At 41.6% G+C, this 12,760-nt stretch overlaps 1 protein-coding gene across 24 annotated transcripts in view, besides 2 other annotated features; it reads left to right on the top strand.

Annotated features, from left to right (window-relative positions):
* NCALD (neurocalcin delta) overlaps window positions 1-12,760 on the top strand; it is a 438,366-nt gene that overhangs the window by 354,435 nt on the left and 71,171 nt on the right. The window lies entirely within an intron of this gene.
* Window positions 4,370-4,429: an enhancer, noted in NCBI's record as "active region_27735". NCBI's record gives its function as "activates an Ori minimal core promoter by ATAC-STARR-seq in GM12878 lymphoblastoid cells {active_cell/tissue: GM12878}" and the evidence as "EXISTENCE:reporter gene assay evidence [ECO:0000049][PMID:35858748]".
* Window positions 4,580-4,669: an enhancer, noted in NCBI's record as "active region_27734". NCBI's record gives its function as "activates an Ori minimal core promoter by ATAC-STARR-seq in GM12878 lymphoblastoid cells {active_cell/tissue: GM12878}" and the evidence as "EXISTENCE:reporter gene assay evidence [ECO:0000049][PMID:35858748]".

The raw sequence follows: 12,760 nt of genomic DNA, 5'->3' as shown, positions 1-12,760 counted from the left end.
ATTACCATCAGAGAGTAAGAAGGAATCTGTTTATAAGGAGATTTTAGATAATGGGGAAAAATCCAGAAAAAAAATTTACAATAATCTTGCTACTGATTATAACATCATCTCTTGCTGACATTTCTTTAAGGGGTTAGTCTAGTATGTCAAGCATATGCAGCTGCTTGGAGCTCTTGATTTTTAGAAATGAATAATACAAGAGAACCAACTAATGTTCCTTAGCTCTTCAAACCAGTCTAGTACCTGCATGAAAACATTGGTTATTTTGGTATCCAGTTGGAGAGCACAGGGCCATGCAGCAGGATTTCTGAAAATCAAAGCTCTCTTCCTGAAATATATGGCCACAAAGGATGCATTTCTGGGATCTGATGTTTCCTGGCTTATTCAAATAATAATGATGGTGTTAGGAAACTTTTACAACTATAGGCCTCTTCTTTTCTTTATGCTCAATGCCAAGAACAACAAAAGCTTCATCAATCTGTGAATGATCTTTGTTCATGTTAGAATTCCGTCTCTGAGCTGTTGGTTCTCCCATCCAGGGCTTGTCTGCTCTCCCTTCAGTTAGGCTGGCCAGCATTGATCCAGAGTCCTGAGAATGTAAGTGGCTCAGCCTTTGTTAATTAGGTTACCTGATTCTCCGCATCCCCAGGCTAATTTTGTTTGAGATTTCACAGTGCTTCTAAATTTATAGACGTAAACAAACAGGGACACACTTTTCTTCAAGTCATTTATTAGAATCAAAATTAGGAAGAGTTTTTAACCTTCATACAGTTGAGCTGGTGAAAGATGCCGTTGCAGGTAAGTGTTGGAAATGTTCGCCAGTGTCTCAGCAAAAAGAAAAAAAAAAAAGGAAGAAAGAAAGAAGAAAATAAATGTGCATTTACTTCTAATCATGCCTGCTGGTTTTAGTTTTGTAAGCTGTGGGTCAGTGAATCAATGTGAGCCACTTCGAGGATGGCACGCCTAGGTTATTTTCCAACGGAAAGGAATATGGTCTATTAGGTTTGGAAATATCTAGAGTATGTTCACTTAAAAGCTTATAGGTAGTATATTATAATTCATTTTCTTTATGAAGAGGGAGAACTAGAGCAATTAGGACATCACTAATGAGCTGTTTGAAATACTAGGAGACATTATATGGATATAAATAAATTGAGCATAGAACGTCAAGTTTAATACTGGACACTATGGTTATAGAACACAAGAAGTAGACATTGTATTAGTTTTCTACTGCTGCTATAACAAATCATCCCAAATTTAGTGGCCTAAAAACAACAAATTGATTATTTTACAGTTCTGGAGGTCAGAAGCCTAAAGGTCAACAGAGCAGCCTTTCCCTCTGAGGGTCTAGGGGAGAAGCTGTCTTCTTGACTTTTCCAGCTTCTTGACATTGACTGCCTTCCTTTAGCTCACAGCCCACAGCACTCAGACCTTGCTTCCACCATCACCTCACCTCTGACTCCAAAGCTCCTGCCTCCCTCTTAAAAGAACCTGTGATAACACTGGACACACCTGAATAATCCAGAATAAGAATAACCTTCCCTCCTCAAGATTCTTAATCAGTTCTGCAAAAATCCCTTTTTCCCTGCAAAGCAACCCATTCACAGGTTTCAGGGATTAGGATGTGAATATCTTTGGAAGACCATTATTCTGCCTACCACAGACATTGAGATCATAGATAAATTAATTTACCCCTTCTTTTTTTAAAGTTTCTTTTTTCTTTCTTGCTTTCTTTCTTTTTTTTTTTTTGTTTTTTTGTTTTTTGAGATGGAGTCTCACTCTGTCACCCAACCTGGAGTGCAGTTGCACGATCTCAGTTCATTGCATCTTCCGCCTCCCGGGTTCAAGCAATTCTCGTGCCTCAGCCTCCCAAGTAGCTGGGATTATAGGCATGCACCACCACACCTGGCTAATTTTTGTATTTTTAGTAGAGATGAGGCTTCACCATGTTGGCCAGGCTGGTCTCGAACTTCTCACCTCAGGTGGCCCTTCGGCCACCACTTCCGAAAGTGCTGGGATTACAGGCCTGAGTCACCGCACCAGGCTAATTTACCCTTTCTGACTGGTTTTCTCATTGGCCGCCCTCCTACAACTCTGAAGGAGTTAATTACAGCTGTGACCTGCAGATATAGACTATTGGTGTGACCATGCCATCCTGCAGCCAGACTTCCTGTGAGAATAAGATCTGCTGGTGCTGTGGACTCTGCTCTGTCTGAGGGAAATTTCTGGTGGGCACTAGACTGACATTTTCTTCTTTTCCACCAGAGTCTTGCAAATGTAACATGTATTATAGCTCACCACTCAGAATCAAAAGCTGATTGTGGTAGAGTTTATAGGTAACAGGGCTCTAGATTGAAGCAGTTCAAATGCTGAGTCTCCCCCTTACTACATGTGAAATGTTGCCCAAGTTCCTTATTTTAATTATGCCTCAATTTCTGTATCTGAAAAACAGAGATGATAACTTCCAGAATTGCTGTGAGATTAGGAAAATAAAATATGCAAAGTTTTTGGCACACGCCTGACATATAGCTGTTGCCCAGTTACTGACTATGGGCAGAGTAGTTCAACAGGCCTACTCTTGCTCTAACCTGCAGAGAACAAACACCAGGAGTGAAGAGTGGCCACAAGCAGGGCAGAGAAAGCTGTGGGTCAGGCCACAGGCAAAGCCATTCCCCAGTTAATCCATGAGGCTGACAGCTAGCATTGTGCAGGGAAAGTGGAATTCTGCATTTACATTGAACTTGCAGCATTTGCAGATGCAAAGTCTAAGAACTTGTAGTAAAACCTGGGCAAATCCCAACATGGAATGGTAAGGATCATGACCTTCTCAACATCGTAGAAGAGGGTTAGGGTCCAGAGGAGAGAAGTCCAGATCAGTTGAGTCCATAGGCAATTTCCTTAGCCATCATGGTTAGGGCTGACACCTTATCCATTAGAACATATGCAGCTGTATAATCATCATTTGCTTGCTTACTCCCAATGAATGGAAAATACCGTCTTATCCCAGAATGTGGCTTCAGCTTCATTCTCAATAGTCTACTTTATTGTCATCCTAAGACCTGATTTTAAAAACCTTCTCCAGATGTTGTTTTATGTGTATGTGTGTGTTTCCATTCAGTCAATGGATTCTATCAATGAAAAACACTAGTATTTATTTATTGAATATTTACTCTATGCCAGTTATTGTTTAAGTGCTGACTGCCTAAAATACATTTTGTTACTTATTACTTGCAGTATTTTTATTATAATTCTAGTACATCTATTATTATTTTGACTTTACAGATAACCAAACTGAGACTGCTAAAGTCTATGTAACTGGCCAAACTTACAGAGATTGTAAGTGGTGGAACCAGGAGGCCAAGCCAGGTCTGCCTGTCTCTAAGCTCTAGGTTCTGGTACCTGAAGGGGGAAAACTCAACTGAGAATAAAATGATAGCAGGAACAACAACTATTACTAAAATGGAAAGATGTCCATAAGTGGAAAAAAATGAGTTACAGAACTATACATAGAGTATGATTAAATTGTTGTAAATTAAACAGGAGTGTGTATATTATGTGTATGTATACATATATAGTTTTAAAACTTCTTTGCGGGGCCAGGCGCAGTGACTTACGCTTGTAATCCCAGCACTTTGGGAGGCCCAGGTGGGCGGATCACCTGAGGTCAGAAGTTCGAGACCAGCCTGGCCAACATGATGATACCCTATTTCTACTAAAAATACAAAACAATTAGCCAGGCATGGTGGCATGCGCCTGTAATCCCAGCTACTCGGGAGGCTGAGGCATGAGAATCGCTTGAACCCAGGATTCAGAGGTTGCAGTGGGCTGAGATCACTCCAGCCTGGGTGACAGACAGACCCCATCTCAAAAAACAAAAACAAAAACAACAAACAAAGAAACTTCTTTGGAAACTGATGAAAGTTATGGTCCCTTTTAAAACACTTATGTATAGATGCACACAAAATTTCACACACAACTTAGAAGCTCAGGTTAGGGATCTCTGATATGTATGTATCATATATAAGAAAAATCTGGAAGGATATACACCAAATTGTTAATCATCCCCTTTAAGGGATAAGATTTCAAGACATTTTTCATGTATTTTTTATGTTTTTCTGTCTGGCGAATTTGTTTTCAATGAGCTTGTATTATTCCTGTAATCAAGAAAAACATGTTAAAGATTATAAATGAAGGCCAATTGTTTCCAATTTAAAATGGAATTTACTGCTTCTTTTTCTCCTGATGGGCAGGCTTCTAACATTTTCCCATGTCATACTCAGATATGATTGGGGGACCTCTGAAAAAATTCAAAGGACACTTTTGTGAATACACTAAATGTGAGCTATTTTGTCCAAAAAGAAACTTTCCCTAAAAGTTAAGAATAACGAAAATAAGGAGATGTTGGTGGGTTGCGGGCAAGGGACCATAAAGAGCATGTGGGACAACATCATCAGTGGCCTCCACTGAGAATGACATGTGCACGTGAGACTTTCAGTAGAGTTTTCTATATGAGAAACAAGGGGGCTTTCTGACTAGTAATATGTGCCCTGTAGAACTAAACAGTAAATGAGGTTAATGCTGCATTGCAGAGCAGAAGTATATGGTAGTAGAGATCTGTATGCTAAGCAAATTATCCTTGAGCTATTGTTTGAAATGACCTCTTAATCTTCATTTCAGCTCAGTCTGGCACTAATTGAAATGGCTGTTTCCAGGGCACCCTGGTGCTTAACGAGGGAGTTTCCTTATGCTCTTGACCTGCTCGCTGTTGCGGTCCCTGCCAGTTGCTTTGAGTTTGGAAGATACTTTCTCTCCCCCTTCCTACTCCTCCCCAACATACACACACCCACCTGTCTTCAGCCCAGGAGTCCCCATAAGCTAGATAATCAAATCTTATTCTGAGCATGAACAAAGATTCCAGGAGCATCTTACTTTTCACCAAGAAGAAAATTTTTAATTATGCATGTTTTTTAAAGGAATCTGTAATATTGCAGATGGATTTATTCTTGGTTTAATCTGATGTTTTTTGCACATGTCGGGGTTTGACAATAGCCGGAGACCCCAGTAGTTCTCATTGCCAAGGATAGTGATGAGCCTTCCCAAGGCATTCTCTCTCTGGAACATTGCCCCGCTCAGTTTAATGCAGCAACTGCAGGAACAGCAAATATTTATGAAGCTCCTTGGATCCACACCAGTGTGCTAGGTAAAAAAGGACAGGACTTCTTTTCACTCCCCTGCTTAATCTGAAAATAGAATTTGCATGCTACTGTTCGTTCCCCTCCTTGGATGTGATGTAAGTTCTGTTTGCCTGGAGTGCCGTGTATAGAAGTCTATATTAGGATAACTGTATTATACATCTTGTTCCTAAAGGTTGGGGCCACAGAAGGATACAAATCTCTTTGCATACTGCTCTATACGATTAGGAGCTTCCTACATACTGATGAGAATCCTGAAGATTCATATTTGCCTGGTACCTTCACATGCCTGATCTTGCCGCAGGAGGCAGGCTCTATGATTAGCAGACTCTATCATGGGAGCCAATAGACTGTAGTAGTAAAAAGTCCCTGTGTTCAAGTTAGAACAACATGAGTTTAAATCCTGACACAGCCACTTTCTGACTGTGGTTTTGTAAAGTTTCTCATGTTCTTTCAGCATCTGTTTCCCTGCATGAAAGATAAAGATGTTAATGTCTACATTGCAAAACTATTAGGAGGATTAAATTGAGTGTCACATGCAAAGCACCTGCCACCACAGTGAAGTGCTCCATAAATGGCAGCTAATGACATTATTAGCATGCTGGTAGTGCTCCCTTTAAAAACAAAACAAAAATAACACTTTCTCTTGACCTCTTTTTCCCTGCCAACAACTATCCCATTTTCCTGCACTCCTTTTAAGCAAAGGTCTTTCAAAGGGGGCTGTACTCATTACCTCTGACTTCCCTCCTCATATTCATCCTAAACCCACTCCAATGGGACTTTGGTGCCACTTCTCCAGTGTTATTTTTCTTGTCAAGGTCACCAGTGGCCACTATATTGCTAAAAATGCAATGGCATTTTCCAGTGGCAGTGACCAACAGCAGCATTTGGTACAGGGGATCCCCCCTTCCTCCTTGCTGTGATACTCCCCTTGGTCATGACACCACACTTTCTTGGCTTCCTCCTATCTCGACAGCTGCTCCTTCTCAATGTCTGCAGCCAAAGTCTCTGATCTTTAGATGTTGGAGGATTCAGTAATTGTTCCTCTTTCCTATCAATACTGATTCCCTCAATGAGCACATCCAGTCTTATGGCTTTGAATACAGTTTTTGTGCCAGTGATTCCCAAATATATAGTACCAGTTTTCAACTCAGTCCCAATTCCAGACTCAGATCCGTCCACCTACTACTCGACTAGAATATCTAATGGGCATCCCAAGCTCAGTGCATTATTTAAGGTTCTCTTGAGAGACAGACCAATAGGGGGTGTGTGTGTGTGTGTGTGTGTGTGTGTGTGTGTGTGTGTGTGTGTGTGGAGAGAGAGAGAGAAATTTGTCATAAAGAATTGGCTCATCTGATTGTGGAGGTGTGCAAGTCCCAAGATCTGCAGGGTGACTTGGCAAGCGGGAGACCCAGGAGAGGTGATGGTGTAGTTCCATTCCAAAGGCCAGCAGGCTCAACACCCAGGAAGAGCCAATGTTTTAGTTCAAGTCTGAAGGCAAGAAAAAAGCCAATGTCATGGTTTGAAGGCAATTTGGCAGGAGAAATTCTCTGTTACTTGGAGGAGGGTCAGATTTTTGTTCCATTCAGGCCTTCAGTTGACTGAATGAGGTCCACTCACATTAGGAAAGACAACTGCTTTACTTAGTCTGCTGACTCAAATGGTAATCTCATCCAAAAACACCCTCATAAAATACCCAGGATAATATTTGACCAAATATCCGACACCCTGTGGCCCAATCAAGTTGACACATAAGATGAACGATCACACACAGCACGTCTGAAAATTAGACTGTCGATCTTTTGGGCAAATGTGACTCTGTACCTTTCCCTGTCATTGGTTACCAACGTCACCCTTCCAGTTTTAGCTCAAGCCAAAAACCTTGGAGTCATTTCCTCCTTTCATATCTCAGTTACAACCTGTCAGAAAATTTTGTTTACCTTCAACACCTACCCAGACTTCAACCATAGCTTGCCACTTGCATTGCTGCCACCCTAATTTAAGCCACAATCATTGCTCAAGGAGCCCTGTTCCAGAACACCATATTTGAATTGCTGCCACCGGTATTCCTGGTCTCCTTTACTCTAACTTTATCCATAGTATTTATTGTTTTTTAATATTCCATATAATTTTATTAATTTTTCTGTTTGCCTGAGACAGAATGCCTAGCACAGTGCCTGATATGTAGTATACATACACTCGATAAATATTTGTTGGATGAATTGCCATTGTAGAGATAAAGAAACTGGGACTTAAAGGAATTAAGTAATTTGCTAGGGTCCCACAGTTAATAAGTAGTAAAGCTATCCTAAAACAGTACCTAACAGAATCATAGGCAAGAGGTGCTGATATTAGGTAAGTTTCTTCAGTTGAGCATCTATTGTCCATTTTTTATTAAAAGTAGGCCTTGGCTGGGCGTGGTGGCTCATGCCTGTAATCCCAGCACTTTGGGAGGCCAAGGCGGGTGGATCACAAGGTCTGGAGTTCAAGACCAGCCTGGTCAACATGGCGAAACCCCATCTCTACTAAAAATACAAAAATTAGCCAGGCGTGGTGGCAAGCGCCTATAACCCCAGCTACTTGGGAGGCTGAGGGAGAGAACTGCTTGAACCTGGGAGATGGAGGTTGCAGTGAGTCGATATCACACCGCTGTACTCCAGCCTGGGTGACAGAAAAAAAAAAAAAAAAAGTAGACTTTGTCCAGATAGCAGTGTCTGTAGACCAGTGCTGATTTATATAATCATGTTTGACCATAAGCTAAGGTTTATTCTCTTATCTCTGTGTCAGCCATCTGATAAAATCTCCTTGTTTTGAAATATTTTCACCTTTCAGAAATTAATAGATTAATATTATGTTCCTCTTGCCTTTTCCTAAGTCTCTTAAGCCAAGCCAGACATCATTTTGGAGATTTCCTTTATAAGGAACTTACAGTTAACCCTTTTATCTTTTTATAGTACATATAATAGTATTAAATTATCTCACCAGAGCAAAATGGAATTTTTATTAGCTAGATCTTTGTATTATGATCCACAAATATGGGGTGAGCACCTACTTTATGAAGGCTCTGTGGGGGGGTTGGGGAAATAAAGAGGTATCCAGAAGCTCCTGGTCTATTTAGGGAAAATGCATATATATTAGTCGGGATATTGATTCAGCTGATTTAACAGAGACTAAGTAATAGTGGCTTAAACAAGATAGAAGGGTTCTTTCTCTTGCTGTCTCTCATCTCAGCTGAAGAATTAAGGGAGAAGAATTGCCCTTATGCTCCCAAGGTCATTAGGGGCCCAACTCCTTCCATAGTTTTGCTCCACCATTCCCTACTATGTTGTTCTCCTCAGATAGTGGAATTTGGATTATACTCCCACATGTACATTCGAGGCCCCGAAACGGGGGAAGAGAAAAAGTGAGTAAGTGGTTTCTTTTTAAGGTATGACCCAGAAGTTGTACATTTCACTTCTACTCACAACTGATTGGCCAGAACTTAGTCACCTGGCCATGCTTAAGCCAATCTGTGAAACCTAGTCTGTAGGGTAGCTGCGTGCGCAGCTCTGGATTCCATTACTAAAAGGAAGAAGGGGAGATTGAATACTGGGAAACAAATAAGTCCCTGATTAGCCATATCTGTAAATACTGCTGTCACCTCCAACTAAATAATAAGGTCTTAAAGGGTAGGGCTGCATTTTACACTCTCAGTGCCTTCAAATGATAAGTTCTTAATAAATATTTCCTGATTGGGTGATTTGGTGAATGCACTTTCATCCAAGAGATTTTCTGGAGAGTTTTTATTATACTGCCAAAACCAAACACTATTCAATCCCAGGGTAAACACTGCAGGAAAAAAAATGTCACAGGGCAACATAGTCATAAGTGGGTTCTCCCCATGCTCACACGCCCTTCATTCTAAGCTGGGGGAGGCTGCTGTAGTAACACAGATGCAAAAAATAAACTTTGACTAAATGGCTTCATGTTCCAGATGATTGGATGCCTCGTTAAAGCACCCAAAGATGAAGCTACTGCTCCGGCAAAGTTGCTGACCTAATTTTGAGAACTAAAAGACAGAGCTAAGTGTGTTTTCATGGCATCCCACATTCCTTTCTTAATTCATCATGATTCATGGGAACCAGGATCTCAGGCTGCCCCTCCCCCAGGTAGCAGTTAAGCTGGTGGAATTGTTCTCTCTAGTCCATAAGGACATGGAAACGGATCCTGCTGGAGGAAGTCAATAGAGCAGCAGTAAAGCATCCCTCCCCCCGCCCCCACCCGAATGTGAACATCTGTTCAAACTTTTCACAGCTCCCAGGAGGAAGTGGATAGAACACAGGGCTTCTAACTATAAAGGGAAAACTTCACCCATTTGCACTCTACTAACTTGAAATTTATGATTTGACCTGACCTGGCTTTGGCTTTATCTCTATGATGCCTTTGAAGAAAGGCCAAACTGGGTAAATAAATATAATAAACAAGAGTATAAGGGGTGCTGTTATTATATTCATGAAAGCAAACCTTTGCATGACTTAACTTCATTAACTATTTGAATGTAAATTACTACTGCTTATGGCAAGTGAGATAGATTCAATAACATAGGCTATAGCCACACCTCAACTTGAAAACTTATGTTTAACTTAAAGCTGAGTTGCTGTATGGACTTGACAGAAACAGCCTATGCGCTGTGGTTCTGGAATTTCACGAATGCACGCTGGCTTTTCTTCATCTATCTGAATTAGCAAGAGGTTTGCTGCATTTAGTTAAGACAGCCAGACGCTCTCTGGGAACCTCAGCCACCCCTAATCCAGACGTCAGTTTGCATTTACTTTAGGATGAATGGAGGTCCCTTCCCCCTCCTGTTGTCATCTGTCCTTCCCAGAATATTTTGCAGTATGGCCTGTGGCAATCCTTTTCTTCTTGCTTGCTCTGAGTGGTGGCTGCTCAGTGGAGGGCCCCCAGCTGGCTCTGGTTTCCAGCTGCTTCAGAGCCCACTGGCCTGGAGGTAAAGCTGCAGAGTGATAAGCATTGTAAAAATAAAGCCCGTTGCTAGCCAGGCCAGCCAAACAGCGTGGGAGGAGTGGAAAATTCAGTCTATGTGTTCTTGGCGTGACAAATTGTCAATATCTGAGGTGTTCTGCTGGAGGAAATGGGAAGAGATGTTCTCTAACCAGACCTAATCTGTGTATTATCAGTCAGTAGCCCTTGGAGAATCATGTCAAAACCAGGCTCATGGGACTGGAGCCATAACCTTGGGTCAGCTTGTTTATTGCCCACCATCTTTGACTTGACCAACCCCTTGGGGTCTGGTGTGGCCTTGGGAACCGCAGTGTCTAAATGCAAGCGCCACTGCCCTTAATTGAACTACTAAGGGAGAGTAAGTGCTAGGTATTGTTTAATCAGGGATCAGCCCAGTCTCTCCCTCTACCTAAGCCTGCCATGTGCCCTTACTGATGATACATTTTTATCTGATGCCCCGAATGACAGATGTTACTACTCTCGTCAAGTTTTGGGAGTAGCTGTACATTTTTATATTTTTTGCACAAAGGAAGTGACTGTAGCTCCTGGAAATTCAGTCTGGTCACCTGAAACTTTGGTAATTTTGTCTGGTCTTCTTTGAGGGATGTATGTCTAGTAATGCAGTTCCCTGTTCCTTGGCCCCCAGGACTCCTTATTGTGTGGCAGAATTGAAATAATTGCAGGAAAGAGAACATTGCTCTCCTAGCCCTGACAGCAGGCAGGTCCCTGGGATACCTTCAAGACCCACTTTGAATTCAGATGACAAGTCCTTCCAGAAAATAATCTGGGATGTTTTCCTCATTTTACTGCATACAATTTTCCCCATTGGTGTATCAAGATATTAAAAGCAATCCCTGTCTCTCTCTTTCCTCCTCCTCCTCTTCCCTGACTCTCTTCTTCCTTCCCTCCTTTTCCCCCTCTCCCTCTCTCAGTTTCTTTGTCTTCGAAGACACTGACAACTTTCTGGCATGTCGCCTAGGCTTAGGAGAGTGAATCTTTATCAAAATTTCTTCTAGCCATTGGCTTGGAAGTACTATATAAATCAGCAAGACACTTTGTTATAAAACTTTCTCATTATCAACATTCACTACTGTTCCATTTTATGAATGCTTCTTTGTCTTCCAAAAAGCATTTCGGATTAAGCAATGCTGTTATTGAAAATGTGGGCGGTTTCTGCTGGTGTGCTTGGCTGGTTGAATTATAGATGGTTGTCACGAATATCACAATGCCAGGTTCCTATAAATGAGTTAAAAATATTGATGTATGAAGTAAGTTGGGGATGGCAAGTGGAGATTCAGCATCCTTATTATCCAATTGGGCCACTGGATTTGTACTTTGTAGTAAAAGAGCTCTAAGATCTACATGTGATGCAACTCTCCAATTTAAGTAGGTTGGGATCTTTCTTATTATTGGATGCACAGATTCAAATTAAACTACAAAAAAAAAGTATTTTACACATCCTGTGTCCCAGCACTATGCTAGACACTAGAGATGAACAGATATATAAACACCAGGCCTGCTATTGAGGTGTTCATAATCCTGTGAGGGAACTCTAATCTGTAGACAGAACTCTCTTGCAATGTAATGAATACCATAGACAGGTCCGAGAGGTATGAGAGGTGCATGCCTAGAGTCAGGACACATGGGGACAGAAGACATGTGGTGGATGTGGTGAGTAAGAGCACCTGGTCTTTGATGACAGACATATAGGGTTAAATCCTGGATCTGCCATAATTCATGGGAGGAACAGATTACTGAATGAATTAATACATAGCTTTTATTGGTATTGGGATTCAAGGAAATACTGCAGTGTTATATAAAGTGCTCAAGACAGTATTTGTCACCCAGGATCAATGGTGATTTGTCATTGGAAAGTAAGCACTTGTTTCAGGCTTTATTTGGTGGGAATCCAGGCAGGATGAGTAGGAACAGTGGAGACTGGGATGTCAGCAGGAGACAGCCTATGGAGGGGGAGAGCTGGGGCCTGCTAAGAAGGGCCTGCCTTTCTGTGGAGTTGGAGCAGGAGCGGGTGGAGAGAGGGTCAAGTGCTTTAGGCAAGGCAGGCTGGGGCCAGATTACAAAGCCATTTGTAGTATTAGACTGAAGGATCAGACATGACATTGAAGACAGTGGGGATTTATTGGTATTGGTGAGCAGGAAAGTGGCATAAAGAGATGTGAGTTTAAAAATCAGGCAGTATGGTAGTTCACACTTGTAATTCCAGTGCTTTGGGAGGCTGATGCAGGAGGAATGTTTGAGGCCAGGAGTTTGAGACCAGCTGGGCAACATGGCCAGACCCCATTTCTACAAAAAATAAAAAGTTATCTGGGTGTGATAGCACACAACTGTAGTCCTAGCTACTTGGGAGGTGGGAGGCTCTAAAAAAATTGTTAAAATAGCCTCTCTGATGGTTGGGTTAGGAAATGAGTACAGTAGTGCAAACAAGAAATTATGTTCACATTTACTTCACTATATTTGTTGAAGGCCTACTGTGTCCCAGGCACTTTGCTAGGTATAAATGAAGGTAGAGTGGAGGCAAGGTTAATTAATACAGGGATAGAGAAAGG

The sequence above is a fragment of the Homo sapiens genome, chromosome 8, assembly GCF_000001405.40.
Source record: "Homo sapiens chromosome 8, GRCh38.p14 Primary Assembly".
In the NCBI taxonomy this organism is placed as follows: domain Eukaryota; kingdom Metazoa; phylum Chordata; class Mammalia; order Primates; family Hominidae; genus Homo; species Homo sapiens.
This window is presented reverse-complemented; position numbering and strand designations above follow the sequence as displayed.